This window comes from Homo sapiens, chromosome 21, assembly GCF_000001405.40.
Source record: "Homo sapiens chromosome 21, GRCh38.p14 Primary Assembly".
NCBI lineage: Eukaryota > Metazoa > Chordata > Mammalia > Primates > Hominidae > Homo > Homo sapiens.
The window spans coordinates 18,235,149-18,254,390 of NC_000021.9; the positions used below are offsets into that span (position 1 = coordinate 18,235,149).

General features: G+C 34.6%; 1 protein-coding gene across 9 annotated transcripts in view; it reads left to right on the forward strand.

Annotated features, from left to right (window-relative positions):
- CHODL (chondrolectin) overlaps positions 1–19,242 on the forward strand; it is a 350,031-nt gene that overhangs the window by 317,809 nt on the left and 12,980 nt on the right. For 2 of the 9 annotated variants that reach the window (NM_024944.3, XM_011529453.3), the window contains exon 1: positions 9,685–10,154. The exons of 4 other annotated variants lie outside the window; for them this stretch is intronic. In NM_024944.3, the coding sequence (NP_079220.2) occupies positions 10,076–10,154 (79 nt within the window). In that variant the 5' untranslated portion in view covers positions 9,685–10,075. Of the gene's footprint in view, positions 1–6,360; positions 6,560–9,684; positions 10,155–10,726; positions 10,822–19,242 lie in introns of those variants that run through there. 3 more of the 9 variants (NM_001204174.2, XM_017028273.2, XM_047440682.1) reach the window with 2 other exon arrangements.

The window sequence follows — 19,242 nt, forward strand, 5'->3', positions numbered from 1 at the left end:
GTACAAAAGATAAAGAGGGTCAGAATTTGAAGGGCCACAAATGAGGGACAAAGAAGCCCAAAATTTGTTCTGTAGTCTAGAGTGTAATTAAAAGCTTTAGAGCAGATGAATATGTAAAAGCCTGTGCATGTTTTTTTAATAGGACCTTCTGATGGTAGCATTATGCATTTTTTTCTAATTTTGTACTAGATTTTCTGCAAGTATATTCATATTAACATTGGAAGAAAATTTAAAAAATTAAAATACTGAATATATGATTAATCTATATTTTAGACAAAACAATGTGTTGATTATTAAGATTGTCTGTACTGGGCTGGAGGAGACTAAACCTAAACCCCAGTTAACTCTTTGGATTGGCTACAGGCATATCTTCAGTGAAGTAATTCCTGTTATTGTCTATAAAATTTAAGGGTTATTTTTGTTATAAAAGAGTTAAGAAGTAGTAGTCACCAAGGATAATATGATCAAATAATTTCTTATAAAATAGAAGAATCTGTCACACATGCAGCCAACTGAATGCATTCCACTTATAATAAATTACGTGTTCCAAACAGGTTTTCTACTAAAACTTATTGAAAATAGCATTTGGTTGCTATGACAACCTGGAACAGCAATTGGAAACTAGAACATTAAAGGTGAGACAGAAAAGACAGACAAATAGTTCATATTTAGCTAAATTGTATTCCTTTTTAATTCTTATAAATCCAGGGAGGAAAGGAAATTCTTATCATGTTCAGAAATGAATAGTTTTCTACCTTAGCATCATATAGATTTAGAATGTCCAGTGTATTTACATCATCTGTTGGTTATTAAGTAAGATGAATCAATTGTCCTCCTTTTTGTTCTGAATCTCAGAAGTCTTCTCATCTATGAGTTTTGTATTAGTACATTATCACGCTGCTGTAAAGAACTGCCCAGGACTGGGTAATTTACAAGCGAAAGAGGTTTAATTGATTCACAGTTCCACGTGGCTGGGAAGGCCTCAGGAAACTTACTATCATGGCAAAAGGAGAAGCAAACACGTCCTTTTTCACAGGGCAGCAGAAAGAGAAGAATGAAAGCCAAGTGAAGTGGGAAGCCCCTTATAAAACCATTAGAGCTTGTGAGAACTTACTTACATCATGAGACTAGCATAAGGGAAAACCGCCTCCATGATTCAATTACGTCCTATAGGGTCCTTTCCATAGCACATGGGGATTATGGGAACTACAATTCAAGATGAGACTTCGGTGGGGACACAGCCAAACCATATCAAGCTTTGATTACTTTTTGTAGCTTTTGAGCATTTAGACCCTTATCTCAGGATATTATAGCTATTTATTGATTGAAACTCTGACTTTCAAAGTGTGTTCTATGAATCCTAAGAATTTCACAAATTATCTCTAAGGTTTCTTTGGAAGGAAGTACGGTCATATGGCCACTTGACTCCAGTATTTTCCATGTCTTTTAGGTTTTACCTCAACACCACACTAGAAATTATAATGATGCAGCTCAGAAAGTGAGCAGGCAGTTTCATAATTCAAAAAATTTTGCAAAATTTGATTAAAAATCTGTAAAATATTTTAAATCTCAATAATTTTGACATGAATTTCAGATAACCACTTGAACAATACATGACAAGTTTTCTACTTATATTTATAAGATATCCTCAATGAAAATGTGCTTTTATTAACAGATAGATAAAATTTTATTTTGTGTTGTAATTTGTAGTCTTTTTAAAAATCTTAAAAATCAAAAAGTCACTTATTGACTTCCTAGTGTGCAAGACACTGTTAGGCATGGAGGATACAGAATATGTTATAGTATAGTATTTTTCCTATAGGAGACTGGTGTGTCCACATAAAGAGGCATAATTTATACAGCTAACTATTGGAGAAGAAATATGCTGTGGTTTTAAAAAATCAGAGCAAGAAAATTATTTTTGTGGAAATTAAAAAGTAAGCTTCATGTAGGATGTGAAAATCAACCACATGTTAAATATCAGGGTATGAACTGCACTGTTCTGGGCAAATTAGTACTTTGTCAGGCAACACAAGATGTGTGGTTACCATATTCTTGGAAGATGTTACTGGTGGGAGCATATAGCAGTGTGGAAGTAGAAAAGCAAAATTTAGACTATCTATCTAGGAATATACATCTGAATTTTGCATTTATCTCCACTCTCAGAAGAAATTACGTATAGCGAAAGTAAGGGCTACTCAGTGACTTCTGCAGAATAGGAAGCAAACATTAACCTAAGATTCTAGAATGCAGGTTACATGGATTACTCTTGAAAACCTCCCCCTTTGCAAGCCTGACATCCTTGAGTGTTAGCAAAGGAAAGGAAGGTACTGGGGAGCTTTTCAGAATTGCCAAAGCCTTCTTTCATCTCCTTTACAGGAGTAAGGAAGTGTGGAAGAAAGGAGAATATCCTTCCTGTGTTGGTTGCAGTTCTTATTATACATCCCTCTTCTCTCCGACCCTTGTCACTCTAGAGAGTAGACAGGGGAAAAATCTTTAAAACCTGGATGCAGGTGAAGATTAAAAAACATTAATTCAGAGATTCAGTTTTGGATAAATATTTACCAAATACATAGCAAGTATTCTCCACCTACTGTTTGTTAATTAAAATTAACCCAAATTTCCCACCTACTGTTTATTTATTGAATAAACATAAAAATTTCCCATCTACTGTTTATTTACAGTAGGTGAAGAATAAAACCACCTACTGGTGGAGAATAAACTAGCTCAGAGCTTACAACCTAGTAGAGATGGACAAACATTAAATAAATACGCCCACAATTTTAACAGAATAAGTGCAATATGTGCTCAATAAATGTTTGTTAAATTATAGATGCAGTCATAGAAAAAACTGGGGGAGGATAAGCAGAGGTGGACTTAGATCATTAGTCAGGGAAAGCCTTTCTGTAGATGGAGGCAAGGACAGAAAGACAGTATCTTCACTTCCTTTATGATTGTCCTAAAGCTTCTCAGCACTCTGAACTATTAACTTGGGTTAGAGAAAACCAGTATAGAGTCTGGGAAGAGACACCAGAGTTCTAGTGGTCCTTAACATGTTAGAATAAGCCATGTAAACTGATGCGCATATTAGTCCATTTTCATGCTGCTGATAAAGACATACCCGAGACTGGGAAGAGAAAGAGGTTTCATTGGACTTACAGTTTCACAAGGCTGGGGATGCCTCAGAATCATGGTGGGAGGCAAAAGGCACTTCTTACATGGTGGTGGCAAGAGAAAATGAGAAAGATGCAAAACAGGAAACCCCAGATAAAACCATCAGATCTTGTGAGACTCATTCACTACCTTGAGGACAATATGGGGAAAGTGCTCCCATGATTCAAGTTATCTCCCAGTGGGTCCCTCCCACAACATGCGGGAATTATGGGAGTACAATTCAAGATGAGATTTGGGTGGGGACACAGAGCCAAACCATACCAATGTGGTTATGTGAAAGTTCAGGGAGGGGTTGCTGTGGATGGGTGGTGGAATTGATTAGAGTATTAAGATTGTGAGGTCTAGCTTTATGCTCCATTTTATTCCCAGTAAGTAATATTTTTTCCAGAAGTCTTTACAGTCACAAGTAAATGAGTCTCAGCACAGACGGGCCTGAGTCCACTATGATTATCCTAGTCTTGTATGAAGAACTTTATATACATATTTTTGTAATTGTTGTATTATTCAACATCATAAATATTTAAACATCAAAAACATTACTTCTGATTTTTTAGTGCCAGATTAAATGACTCTTACCTATTAGAGAAGACAGGAAGTACATGACTAAGACATTCATGATAATTTTGTAGCTCTCTGATGTTCTTTAACACTCTAGAAAATTAAGACTACCTTATGAATTTTTGTGTCCATTCTTTGGAGAGAAATATTATAGCACAAATTTCTTACTGTAACATGCTCCGTTAAATTTTTCTGCTGTAAAGGATCAAGCAATAGAAATACACTTACTTTTGTTGTTTTTCCCTTTCTGTTCATGTTTATTTTATAGGAGTTTCTTTGGAATGTAGAATATGTATACCTTATTGCAGATAAATAATAACTTTTCCTTTTTAAAAGGTAACCTAGAGGATAAAGAAAGGTTTACGGGTGCTGATATCTATGGCTTATCTGACAGAGTATTCCTTATTATTTCCAAAATTTCTATATTGCTGTCCTGCATTATACACATGTATTTGGCATGTGAGCTACTTACGCTTAGAAACGATGTATGAAAGAGCAGCAGAGTGACAGATGTACCTCCAGAAGGATATTTAAATTGATTTTTTTCTTAATACCTTTGGTTTTTTTCCGTTAAATTCCCTCTAACTTTATATGTCAGCTCACATAATACAGTTTATTGCTATTATGGCTGGCTTTGGCACTATTGTTTCCTAGTCATTTGATATATTTGGAGAAACATTTAATATTTATGAATGCCACAAAGGAATATTTTACATTTTTTTAGGTCTTTAGCTATTCCTTTTCTTTACACCCTTTCCCTTTTAGTAAAATAAAACACTTTTATAGAAAATATCTTGCTTTATCAAAAATTCATTTACAGTTTTATGGCCTCTTAGTTGGATTATCTTTTACTCAACTTGGCCCTCAATTTTATTTTGCTTTATTTGGATTTTTCATTTTTTGTGGCATCTGTGATATGTTGATTTATTAGTCAAAGGACCATAGAAAATTTTCAGAACTCCCATTTTCTGAACAATTTTGAAATTAAATGAGGATATAGCCATTTATTATAAATCAAACCATTGTCATTTTTATAGGAAAAAATAGAAGAGAAAGAAAGAGGGAGGGAGGAAGGGAAGAAAATAAAAAGAGATGGAAGATGTTAAGCTTTTTTTTCTTTAGTGAAATAAATTGTAAAGCTGAAAAGGACTCTAGAAATATCTAGCATAGCGATTTCCAACTTCTTTGAGTATGAAGCCCTATTTTTAACATACGTATTGTTTTTCAGACCCCGCATAATAGCAATTGTTATTTTGGTAAATATTGATCAGAATATATGGGAAAAGATTTATAAATTAAGTGACATTTTACAATTAAATTTACATTTCATTAGAAGCATAGCATCTATATATATTTGGAAAATTAGTGCATATATGCAAATAACATATGACATTCTGGCTGGGTAGAATAAAGATGAACATTAGGAAAGTTTATGAAATAACAGTATTTCTGCAGTAGAATCTCATTCAGTCAGGAAACACAGAACTTCTCCAATTCATTCTTTTTATATTTATAAAGTGAAAACCAAACAGAAGAGGAAAGTTGACCAAGATCAGATTAATGAAAAATTTAGATTAATGTTTCTGCTAGCCAAATAATCTTACCGTAGTACAATATCACCCCCAATAAGGAGTTAGTCAATTATGTATCTAATAACTCAGATCAGACCCTTGAGGCAAAGATGACTTTAGCTTACACATTTTTTGTTTGATTATCTCAATTTTGTTTGGTTGTATTAACATATATTAAGGCAAGATTTAGTAATTAAGCTGTGATTAGAATAAAAAGTATTGGTTTATACCAGATTACCAGCAATAGAAACAGATTTCATTACTTTAAATTAATAAAGAAGCATTAAAAAGAAATTTTAATTGAGTTGATAGTTAAACATGCACATATATTTATATGATTCTTTAGATCTGATAGGATATATTACTAGTAATGGAGTTCTATAAATATTTTTAACTGATCACCTGAATGATCAGAGCATGCAACAGACTGAACAGTTATGAAATTTTAACTTCAAGTTATAGAAAATCATGTGTATTAATGTGTATAATTCTTCATTATATTTCTGATATCGTTATGAACAATGAAATTCCCCTAGACAGCCCTGCAAAAACTGACTTCTGGGATTATGAGGAAGGTGGAACTGGCTCCTGAATGAGGTAGGTCATGTATTCTACAGCATAGACATGTTTTGAAAAGAGCAAGTAAATCTCAGGTGAATTTGGCCAACTGCTTATCCTTACATTTAAGCCAGTTACACACCCACACAGATGCCAAGGTGTCATCTCTAAAATATTGGGAGGGAAAACCTTGGATTCAATGCTGTCTTACTGGAAGTGATAACCAAGCATTACTCAGATAAAAAAAAAAAAACTTTTTGCCTATTGCTGAAGTGGTTATATAGTAATGATTTTACTTTTAAACTTTCAAATATTTATTTTTCTATATCCTGGCAATACTATTGATAGTGCTCAGGAGAATCATTAACTGTTATTAGATAAAGTATAATAGAATAAATAATATTGGTTAGTTAATGTTGGATTCTGAAAACATCTCAAATGTATTAATGTAAAGTTGTAATAATTTTAAACATTGTAACAAATCTCCTTTGAAGATCCTATTTGTCACTGTTCGATCTGGAGCGCAAATGAATGAAGCCTGCTGTGACTTAGGCTGAAGCCACTGTATGGAGTTGCCCATGTGAAGAGCCACTGAGTGCAGATCAGTGGCTGGAATTTAGGCTGTCCTTCCTTGAGACGTATTGATGGGCGCATGAAGCAGATGCTCACTGGGAATTGCAGACATTTGAAAGTGAATGGTGAGAGTGAAGGAGTTCGTGATATATTTGGGATATTATATAGATTCCATAGTATACCCTTAAGAGTCCTGATATCACTTTTGAAAACGTTGGATTCCAAATAGTGTTTCTCTATTGATGTTTCAGAGCCTCTGGAGATTCAGCGATCGACTTATTCCTGAAATTCCTTTGTGGCCACTTTTACTGAGATCATCCTTCTATTTGGGGGCTTGAAGAAAGTGATGCATTTTAGGTGTTGAATAGATGCTGAGCTCCTTAGCCTAATCAGTTTGAAGTTCTCATTTGAGTCTTTTTTTTTTTTAATGGACAAAGACCCTTAACTTGTGGGGGACCTCTCTCCTGACTGCCAGTCATATGGTCTTGTTTGGTATGAGCTGACCTGGAGCCCAGCTCCAGACATACACAATTCCTCACATAACCCTAAAGTCTCTTCTCGCTTGCCCTAGAAAGAGCCCTTAATTTCTGGATCAATTTGCAAACAATTCTTAAACTTCTAATTTTGTTTAGTTAATTTGGAACTAAAATGTGTCATCAGAAAACCATGTGTCTTCTATGACACCTTATGCATATCCACAAGAGGGAAAAATTAAAATCCTTTGTTAATAAAATTATTGAATATTTGTTGCTTTCCCCCAACTCCCAATAACCTTGTAACATTTTTCCAAAATACAATTTTGTTGAAAAATTTTAATTCATAGCCCCTACTTTTTTCCATATTGTATGGGAAAAAAAAGGAAGCCAAGAGAAGCTTCCATCAGGGCTCTCCAAAGAGCATGCCTAGTAACACTCAGATTTTATATTTAAGACAACTCAAACTGTGATCTCTGAACTCAGTGATGACCCATCCAGATGTTTTGAAGTGACGGAGACACAAACAAAAAAAGCTGTTCTTGTCAGCCAGTCACCTTAAAAAACATCATATCTAAAAAGAACCTGTAAGAATTTATTTTCCTGATAAGTCAAACAACATCCAGAATAACTGCTGAACAGCCTTAGTTAATGAATGTGGCCAACTTAAACTGATATAATTCTAGCCTAAAGATAAGAAACTGTATGTTAGGAAGTCTGTGCAAACATATTGAGGATACAGTTATTATTATAGTTTGGGCTTCCTGAATTACTAATACCATGAAGATCCTTCCTGACAAAAAATGCCTTCATTCTTGCTAGCTTTGTAGGCATGAGAGACATTTGGGCCTACTGATATATAGGAATATCTATCTAGTGCTTATGTTGTAATTTACTGGTATTCTTTCCCAAAGAAGGACCTGTTTACAGTAGCTCTGGGCATGAGTAACTGAGAGTAGGGTGGCATGAAAGGGGAAAGGAGATCCCCTTCAGAACCCTAGTTCTACAGGTATTTGGAGAAGCCATGGGTATCACCACCATCAACCTTGACTGCTGCTAAAGAATTCCTGCAAATATGCCTCCAAATGAATTTCTTATCTATGCTAGCCATGACACTTGATTCATCCTTCCATTACAGCATTTATACACAGAGTTATTATTTTATTTCTTTCTCTACACTGGACTCTGAGCCCCTGGAGGACAGCTCTCCTACCATGGCTATGCCCAGTGATGCTCTTTGACATGGTTTCCGGGGCTGAGCTATAGCTCTGTTGCCTGGAGGCGTATCAGTTTTCCATTTTTCATTCAGAATCCCAGCAGTGTCTGTTTCTCGTGAATAATTAGCTAGTGTGAAAGTCACAGAATCCATAGCCTCTACAAGGTGCAAATTTATTAACTGCCCATGATTCTGCAATGAATTAGTGTTTTTAAAGGGAATATAAGAAAAAGGAAGTGATAGAATAGACATTATTGTAGTTATTTTAGAATTCTATTTTTTTTTTTTTTGAGACAGGATTTTGCATGTCCCCAAAACTGGAATGCAGTGGCTGGATTGTAGCTCACTGCAGCGTCAAACTCCTACCTCAGCCTCTGGAATAGCTGGGACTCCAGACGGAGCTAGAATTCTACTGTCACGAGTAGGGTGCATTTAATAATCTTTAAGGTCTTTCCAAGTGCTAAAATTTCTGATTCTGGAAGATTTGTCCTTATTGTATCAGTATTTACTTCCTTTTTCCAATAAAACAGTCCAACAGATGCTTACAGTGTACCCGTGGCTTATGAAACCAAAGACAGGAGGAAGTTAGAGGAAAGTGTACTTCCTATAAGACAAGTAATGTTATTTAACAAATTCTCATGCATTTAAAGCAACATAATGAGAAAATACCAATTCTACTGAAGCTCATTATGAGAACATTTTCAGAGTTCATACTATGGACTTGATATACATTAAATTCTTAAGAACTTCTCTCCAGTATTCCTGGAAACTAGGTATCACAGTCCTTGGGTAGACTGTTTTAATAAAGAGAGCAGGTCAGGTTATGAAAAATGCAGGTTTTCCAATGAGCTTTACTTCTAATGTATATCGTAGATCACTGATAGATGATTGCAAAGAAATACATACATTTCATTTTACCTCCAGGAAATTCCCAAGAATTCAGAATGCCTACTTTGTGTTGACGGTTTTCTCTGGAGTTGCAAACACTGAGAGTGAAATCAGTTTCGAAAACCATGCTTCAAATATTCCTTTCAATTTGCTCTTGTGGCAGTTTTCGTCAAACAACCTGCTTGGAGATAATCTATTTGCAGAACCTAGGTGGGGACAAACCTGCCACATTATATAATTCACTGAGCAGGTTTTGGCTCTCACTTCACCAATCCATCTTAAATAGTGGCTAGTGCCCTGCATCTAGCAATACATATGATTAAGCAATTTAGCACAGAAAGAGAAAGGCCACACAACTTGGCAACCCCGTAGACATTTATCTTTGAGAAAACTAAACGGATCCAACTTTTTGCCAGAGTTTAATAGCAAAGCTGTCACATTTTACACAAAGAGTATCCAGTCCGCTAGCGAATGGAAAGAGGGGACAGGGAGGAGGGGACCAGAGGAGGCGGGCTGCTGACTGGACTGTTTTCAAAGGGGCTCCCGTGTTTAGGGGAGGTGCTGGGATGCTCCACATGGCTGGAGAGACGAAGTAGTTAAAAATTATTACTAGGGAGGGGGCCGGAACCTCGGGACGTGGGTATATAAGACGGTGCCTGAGCGCAGAGCGGCTGCTGCTGCTGTGATCCAGGACCAGGGCGCACCGGCTCAGCCTCTCACTTGTCAGAGGCCGGGGAAGAGAAGCAAAGCGCAACGGTGTGGTCCAAGCCGGGGCTTCTGCTTCGCCTCTAGGACATACACGGGACCCCCTAACTTCAGTCCCCCAAACGCGCACCCTCGAAGTCTTGAACTCCAGCCCCGCACATCCACGCGCGGCACAGGCGCGGCAGGCGGCAGGTCCCGGCCGAAGGCGATGCGCGCAGGGGGTCGGGCAGCTGGGCTCGGGCGGCGGGAGTAGGGCCCGGCAGGGAGGCAGGGAGGCTGCAGAGTCAGAGTCGCGGGCTGCGCCCTGGGCAGAGGCCGCCCTCGCTCCACGCAACACCTGCTGCTGCCACCGCGCCGCGATGAGCCGCGTGGTCTCGCTGCTGCTGGGCGCCGCGCTGCTCTGCGGCCACGGAGCCTTCTGCCGCCGCGTGGTCAGCGGTGAGTCAGGGGCCGTCTCCCCGAAGAACGAGCGGGGAGAGGGGACCACGGGGCGCGGCGGGCAGCCTGTTCTCGGGCGGAGGCTCTCCGGGGCGTTGGAAACCTGCATGGTGTAAGGACCCGGGAGGAGGCGGGGAGAAATTGATTGTGCTGTTCTCCTCCCTCTCTTCTCTAACACACACGCAGAAAAGTTTAAATTTTTGTGAAGCGCTTGCTTACGTAGCTGCGGAGCGAGCCTCTGCTTCATTACGAGCGGCATAGCCTTTTTCAGGAGTGATTTCCACTTTCTTTGTGAGAGAGTTGACCACACGGCCGGGCTCAGCACCTGCCAAAGGGGTGGGGTAGGGCGGAGGCAGAGGGAACCCAGAGACAGAAGAGCCACCGCAGAAATGCCACCCTCTGTCGCTCTGACTGGACTTTGGTCCCAGCACCGTGTTCACTCGGATGCTTTCTGTGACCAGATCAGTTCGCTGTGGGTCGCCTCCGGATGCCTGGGCATTCGGTCTTTGTTCTCAGCAGGACTACTGGCAAGGAACTGAAGTGTGGTCATTGCGTGTAGATGCCTTTCCTTTGCACACTGCGTTCCAAGTTGGGGACTTCCCAGAAAATGAAGTCAGCTGGAGTTGGGCCGAGGTATACTTGGTAATGACTGCAGGTTCGGCACACAGTAGGTGCACAATTAAGTCGGTCGAGTCAGTGCATGGGAAATCGATCAAAATTGGCAAGCTTCCCAGGTTGTCTTTGATTTTTCTTTTTTTGACTCTCACTGTCCTGTCGTTGAGCGATTTATATTGCAATTACTCTCCCTTACTTTTTGGGACGGTCTCTTCAAAAGGATACAGATTCTCGACAACCTAGGGTGAATGTGCTTAGGGCCTTACATAAAGGCTGATCATAGCTACACTTTATTGAAATCTCTTACTATGCTCATTGAAACATTGCAATAAGTATTTGTTGGATATATGTGTTTTGAGGGTGAAAAGTTTTTTTAAAACATAAAAAGCACAAATAGCCCTTTTCACTTTTGTACACCTATACAACAGGTGTCACTAGATGTAGAAATAGATGACAGATGACAGCAAGTAATTCAGCTGTGAAGCCAGACCTTTAGACATTGGCATATTAAGCTTAATTGTCACTGATCTTCCCCTTAGCAATTTGTGATGTTCTACAGCTTCAGAATATAGTTCTTACATGTGTAGTTACCGATCACTCTACACTTTTTTCAGAATTTTCAGAATCTGTGACATTAGATCCTTTTCCTCCCTAAGTTAGCTGCAAAGAAAAAATTCATTATATAGACTCATCTGATTTTGTGAATTACTTATCTGTCTTTGTATTTATCAGAATTATTCATGCAACTGAATGAAAAGCAGAGACCATGCTTTGAACATAAGATGTTTTTTACTCATTGACCTAAATAATATCCTTTAGATATGCTCTTGTTCCTAGGCCTCAACATTTTAAAGGGAGGAAAAATAATATCTAAAGTAAAAACAGAGCTTAAAAAATTGTTGAAGAGGTGTATTTTGCGTTCTATGAGTACATAATTTTTTCCAAATCTTTTGTTAGGTTTTCTTATTAAGCATTTATAGGCATCTTGTAGGTGACATCTGGAAAATTTCTAATTAACTGAACATGATCTATTTGATTTAGCATAAATGATGATGTTTATTTGATATTAAAATAATTAGTTATGTTTTCCTTATGAATAATTCAATTGTCTTTGGTCATAAAATTCACATTGAAATTTAACCATCTATAAATTGATTTGTGACTTTTATTATTTGAAGACTAATTTCTTAAAAAGATATATTTTGACCACAATGGCCAGAGAACAGAGCAGCCTGAAGCCTGACATTTTTGTAGCAATAGTTTCTAATGGATCTATTGTCTACCTGGTCAATGTAAGTTTTGAATTGGTGCATCAATTTTTCGTGCCACTTGGGACCATTCACCAAATCTTTATTGAAGAGTAAGAGCCTCTTTGGGGCTGTTATTAGGAACATACTTGCAACGTATGGAATATATTTCTATTTGTTAAATTTCAGTACAACAATTTATAATTTCTATGTAGGATACTCAAATAATCACTGACCGCAGAAAAATAGACACTCACAAAATAATTCTCCACATAAATTATATTTAATACCTTAAAATATTCAATAAGGTACTTTCCAATACTTTTAAATACATCACCTTTTCTAAAGTTTAGAGCATTACCTAAAAATAAAGTGGATATATTTTAGCAAGAAATGACATTTCAAACAACTTCGTCATCGTAATCTGACCCATGAGATTTAGTGGCATCTAGTAGTAATAAGAAAGTATTTTTTCTAGGTCAGTGGTCATGATTATTTTGATGTACGAATATGCAAAACAAGATGTGATATGATGATAGTAATCAAAGCCTATTTATTGAATTTATGATGCTAATTTGGAAACTACCTTTAGGAGCTTAGACCTGTACTGATTTCTTACTACACACAGATGTGTAGAGAATATCTATGGGAGCTGCAATCATTTAATTTTGTGAAGTGACTGGTGAGTAGTGATGTCTTCTTTAGGACAAAGGTAAAAGGATTTTACTTGTAGGCATAAGGATAAATATGAAGGATTCCAAATTCAGGTCTCTAAGTTGGGAGGATATGTTTGAAGAGCAAGTGATACTTTTAAACATTTGAAGTGTTTTGAAGTAATGTGTTTCTTTTTTTTTTTTCCTTTTTTCTTTCTAGTGTGCATAGCAGTGATCCCCAACCTATTTTTGCTGCAAAATGACATTAGGAATATTTCATGGTGCTTCCAGATTTCTCCAGGACACTTTAATATATATCAGTTTAACTTTATTAAAACTGGCACATGTTTTATTTAGGAGACTGGGTGATTTAGAGGCCTCTCTTCTTATCCTGTGGATACCATAGAATATTGCAAATTCATGGGTGGTGAACAGTAGCACATACATTAATACAATATGATATAATATATACCAAGGGAGATACAAGAAAAACTGCTGAGCCTTTCTCAGCCTATGGAACTAATCTATGACATCATCAAAAGCATAAAATGATGACAGTGCAGTTTTCAGAGATGCAATTACTTTAAGTATCTCTCGGGCATGAAAGGAACAAATTAATCTTATTACCAGTCATTTAATGAACTAACCATTTATCATAGCCATTATTCTTCAACTGCTGTTTGTCATCATTTTATGGTTTTGTTTTATAACTCTTTCCCAAAGATGGCAGTATCTGTTACATTACCTTTATAAAAGGTAATGTATTTTATATATATATATAAAATATATGTATAATACATATATAATATATATAATACATATATGTATATATTATATACATATATATGTATAATACATATATGTATATATTATATACATATATATGTATATAATATATACATATATATGTATATAATATATATGTATAATATATATGTATATATGTTATATATAATATATGTGTGTATATATGTATATGTGTGTATATATGTATGTATATTATATATGTATGTATATTGTATATGTATGTATATATACATTGTATATGTGTATATATATGTATTGTACCTATAATATAATACATATATATGTATAATACATATATATGTATACATATATATTATGTATACATATATATGTAATATATACATATATGTAAATATATATTATACATATATGTATTTATATATAATATATATTATACATAATATTAATATATATAATATTATATATATTATATATAATTTACTATATATAATATATATATAATAAAATATATATATATAATAATATATATATAATAAAATACATATATAATAATATATATATATATAAAGGAGTCCAAGGTTAAAATTCAGAAGATGCACTCACAAACAATTTTTACTATTTACAACAACTTTCTGTGTCAGGAATTCATATACAAGTAGATGGATGTGTGCGACTCTAGGATGAGAGTGTTTCTTTTACTATTTTAACATATTCCTCATGATATAACACAGGATGACAACTTGGCTAAAGTTATACTCTTTGTAATGTGGAATGCATTCAATTTGGATCTAGTTTGTTTTATTTGGAAAATAAAAAGACTAGATAAAAATTTATTAAAGGCATATATGGTTTGAAAATCTGAGACAGAGGCAACATTAATTCTTATTTAAATATTTGTAACAGAAAATCTAATTCTGTTTAGAAACAAGCTCTCAATGCACAAGCCTTGCTTATATTAGCCACCCAATAATCAATAACAGATTAATGCTTATGATTCTGACATAGATAACATGCACAGTGTTTGTGTTCATCAATCCCTTTTGTTCATGAAATATTTCACCTTTATATTAGGTTTGAGACATATGGAGACAGCATAGAAACCTGGTAAAAGCATGGAGTGTAGAGCCAGATGGCCTGGTTTCACAACCCAGCTTCAGCACTTGTGAGCTGTGTGAACTGCCCTCTTTGCCTCATTTTGAAAACAGATAAGAGCACCTATGTCATAGGATTGCTAGGAATATTAAAAAGGTTCAAACACAGTTATGCAGATTGTGCACTGTGTCGAGGTACAAGCCAAAGAGACAGGAGAAGGAGCTCAGCTTGGCAAGCCCAGTGCCTGTAGCTCAAGCTACCTAGAGGCAAAATCAACTTTTTCTAGTTGAACAGTCTATAAGAGGGACCTTTCTGCCATCTCTCACCAGGAGAGGTCGTCTTTTCCCAATTTATCCCAAAGCATGGATTGTGGTAGAAATGAGGTGCTACATTCTAAATTATTGCTAAATTTGAGGCTTTTATTATTAGAATCATTACTTCTATAAAACTCATAACTGGTCTCATTATTTAAGTAAGAAGACTGAGGCCAGGGGTGATTAAATAATCTCAAGTACCCAAAGTTCAAGTGTAGAGTTTGGTTTCAAAGCTAATTCATTTTGATTGGCTACATGAACTCTTAAGTCACAATGATACTTGGTTTACTACTTATTATTCTAATCTCCATTGTAAATATTCTGATTTTTTAAAAAAATAGTCTCATGCTCTTCTCAGAAAGCTTACGCATTTTCCAACTGGAAAAGTAGGGCTTGCTGCTGCTGCCACCATCCAGAAAATGACCACAACCTACATTTATAAACTTAATTTAAAATTATAAATAAAATTATAAATAAATTTGTTTATTAATGTAAGAAAATAGACTCCAGCTATAGTGCACTATGCAATTAAGTACATTATAAAATCTCTGTTGTAAAAATAAAAGTTTATTATAATAAAACTCTTTATAAGAAAAAATTTTAAGAAGTTGGTGTAACATTGAATGCTGAACGCAGAACACTTGAACACCAGTCATTTTCTTTTTAGTTCAAAAGTGTTGGCACTGGTATCACAGTCCTTGCTGCACTGTGTATGGTAGTATCAACATATTTATCAGTGTGATTGTGAGGGGGGTAAGAAGAAATTATGAAAAAGAAAAAAATATCTTGTGTGATTCTAATAAAACATTCTAAGTTAATTCAGTCTGGTTTGGGGAATATTTACCATGTGGATGCTCTTTTTTACTTTTTTTTGCAACTAATGGTAGATCATAATTGAACAGCAGGAATTTGTAATATGTCTTTTATATTTTTATTGAAAAAGTGATATAAATTCAATATTCATCTAATATTAATAATATATAATTATAGCGTGAGATATTAGAAAATATTTATTATTTTCATAACTAACTGAGCACTCAACTATCAGAAAATAAACAAATATAAGCAAAAAGAAAACCAAATTATAGATCCTTTCTGCTCAGAAAGAAAAAGCAAACTACCCTGACTTCATGAGTTTGGCCCCACTTTATATCATTGCCAAGAGCATTTAAACCTCTGCCAATAGTTAGCTCTATAGAAATTTTAATGGCTAAGGAAAAAGACAAAAATCATCTACTTATTCATGGAAAGAGTGATGAAATCTTTGTTGTGACAGTGATAGGAGTGTTAATAATAATAACTTTCTCTAAATAAAAGGGCCTGTTTATTTATGTAGCTGTGTGTGAAACTAATAAGGATGAATATTTCTTTTATATAAAATAAATGTATTTTATTTGTTTTAATATATAAAATATGTATTTTATTTATTTTATTTATTTATTTTAATATATAAAAATACATATTTATTTTATTTATTTTAATTATTTATTTTAATATATAAAATAAATATTTATTTTAATATATAAAATATTTATTTTATTTATTATTTTAATATATAAATATTTATTTTATTTATTTATTTTAATATATAAAATATTTATTTTATTTATTTATTTTAATATATAAAATATTTATTTTATTTATTTATTTTAATATATAAAATATTTATTTTATTTATTTATTTTAATATATAAAATAAATATTTTATTTATTTATTTTAATATATAAAATAAATATTTATTTTATTTATTTTATTTATTTATTTTAATATATAAAATAAATATTTATATACTTTATATAAAGAAGCCTCTTTTATATAAAAGAAATATTCTATAAAATATTTCTGTAAAAATTCAGTGCAATCTATACGACAAACCTCCATGACACACATTTACCTATGTAATAAACCTGCACATCCTACATATGTACCCATGAACTTAAAATAAATGCTTAAAAATCCAGTGCAGAAAAACTTACATATTTAAATACTTTTTAGATTTAAAAATTAATTAGCTCCTAGTGCACATCTAGCAAATAAATTATCTTGGATTTTATTTTCTCAATATGTTTGTAGAGAAATTATCTTGAATTTTATTTTCTCAATATGTTTGTAGAATCCTGGGCAGATCTTTTCTCTCTCTTGTAGATAAGCCCACAGTAAAAGGATGTCTTCAATTGCAGATGCTAGTTGACATTTAGTAATTTATAGTTCGACGGCATAAATGTAAGCTTAGTGTAATAGAACCCGTTATATGGTTCTCTGAATCCTTATCTATCCCATAAAATGTTGATGGAAGATTTTATCTGAACATAACATTTGAAAATAAGAGACAGAGAAATTCTCCACGTTATCTCACAGAATGAGACGAGAGGTAATTGTAATTGTTCTCTAGGAAAATTGGCTTTTACAGAAGTGGGAAAGTTGCTTCCAGAAGATCTGCATTAACAAAACTTTTCTGGGAATTAGGGCAACATTTGTTTCCCAGCTGTTGGAGTTTCACTGCATTAGTAGCCAAATGTGATCAGCTGAAAGAGTGGTGAGACGTTCAATAGCTGCTGCTTCTGATGATTTTGCTGCAACTTGGACCAAATTTGCACGATAAGGTGGAAGTCAGTAATAAAATAGAATTGAATGTAAAGAAATTCAGTGTCAGCTTTAACTGACTGTATATAAACCCATAAAAATTGTGCAATATATTTATAATTTCCTGAAAACTGCCTTGCTAGATCTGAACTGTTAGTGACTTTTCAGTTCAAACTCTGTAGACACAGCTGATGATCAAACTTTAGAGTTAATAGATCTGTTCCAGTTGACGGTGGGCTGCTGTCTTGATGCCCTGAGAGTCTCCCGACCGTGCAGCCATCACAAGCTCCACTCCCTCAAGCAGGACCGGAGGACTGCTCTATTATCCACAACCAGAGACACAGCCTGGCACAGAGAGTGTCAAGCTGTCTATCGTCCAGGGTCTGGACAGCACTGATTGTTAGTTATTTTAAATATAATCTCTCTCCCTAGGTTTTTTTCTTTCATTATTATTATATCTGTATGAACTAACATAATGGTGTTAGAAATTTCCACATGAAACCTAAAGCTCTCATGCATTTAATTAGAAGTACTATCTTAATTTTATGAGTTAATTTACATCACCATTTCTGTATGCTCATCATGAGTAAATCTGTGCTGCATTTATTTTTTAATATATCAGGGATAATGAACAGTGACTTTTAGCATATGCATCATACCCAGGAATTCCCTGAATGTTTGGGGCTTTGTTACATATAACAAACTTTTTACTCACTGAAAGGTCTGGCTATTCTGTTTTGTTTTTTTTTAATATGACATTTTTTGACATCTTGCAAAACAATCTTCTTAGGGAAATTTAATATTTCAAAAGTGCTGGGATAAAATCCAAGGCAGAAAGTTCTTGGAGTGAAAAATCGAACAAGTTAAAAACTCAAGGGAATGTAATTAAGATATATTTGGACACTTAGAACTATGTAAAGGATGTAGTAGATGAAAATGGAAACCGCATGCTTCTAAATACAGTCATGAAAATACAAGCTTAATGGCATTGTTAGGCTCTGACTGAGAACAACCATTTTAAATGATGAAATCATCACAAAACTTAGTAATATATTAGGAGAAATTTTAAAATAATACATTAATTTTCAGAGTCAACCATTGGGGCTTTCTGTTAATTTGGGACTTTCATGATCATCTCTCAAAGAATATTTATTTTCAGGCTGATTTGTCCTCCTGAAGTTTCTCTAACTTATTTCCCATGGTCATTCATACTAATATGTTCTTTTTCATTAACAATTTGGGCAGCCTGTTAATTTGTTCAGATTTTTTAGTGTGTTGCTGCTGGGTCCAGATCACGGTCACGAAACAGAGGGAACAACTCTTGGCTTGCTTGCATTGCCAGAACTACTATTTTATGATTGGTTGTTCTCAGTTTGTGTCAAGATATTGAATGCCTATCACTCAAACACTGTTGAGAAGTTAATGACCTTCCACTGATTTCTGTGCCTTTCTCCCTCTGAGTGTCATCATAGGTCATTAACTGCTGACTCCAGAAAGGAATGGATATGATACACTGGCTCAGTGTGATGTACTGTAATTAAAGTACAAAGTTTGAATGCTTTTTTTTTTTGCCAGTATTTAAATACAAGAATCTCCCCCACCCCCAGAAATCCCTGACTACTGACAACTTTTATTGATAGGCTACACAATTAAATACATAGTAGAAAAGGCCATAAATACCAACAGGAATAATGTTAATGGAGATGAATTGTAAGAAAGTAGAGAAACTATTTCCTAATTTCTTAGCATAAAGTAATTTGTCTAAATTTTACATAAAGTAATTGACAGTCTATTTTCCAGGTCCAAATCTAAGCT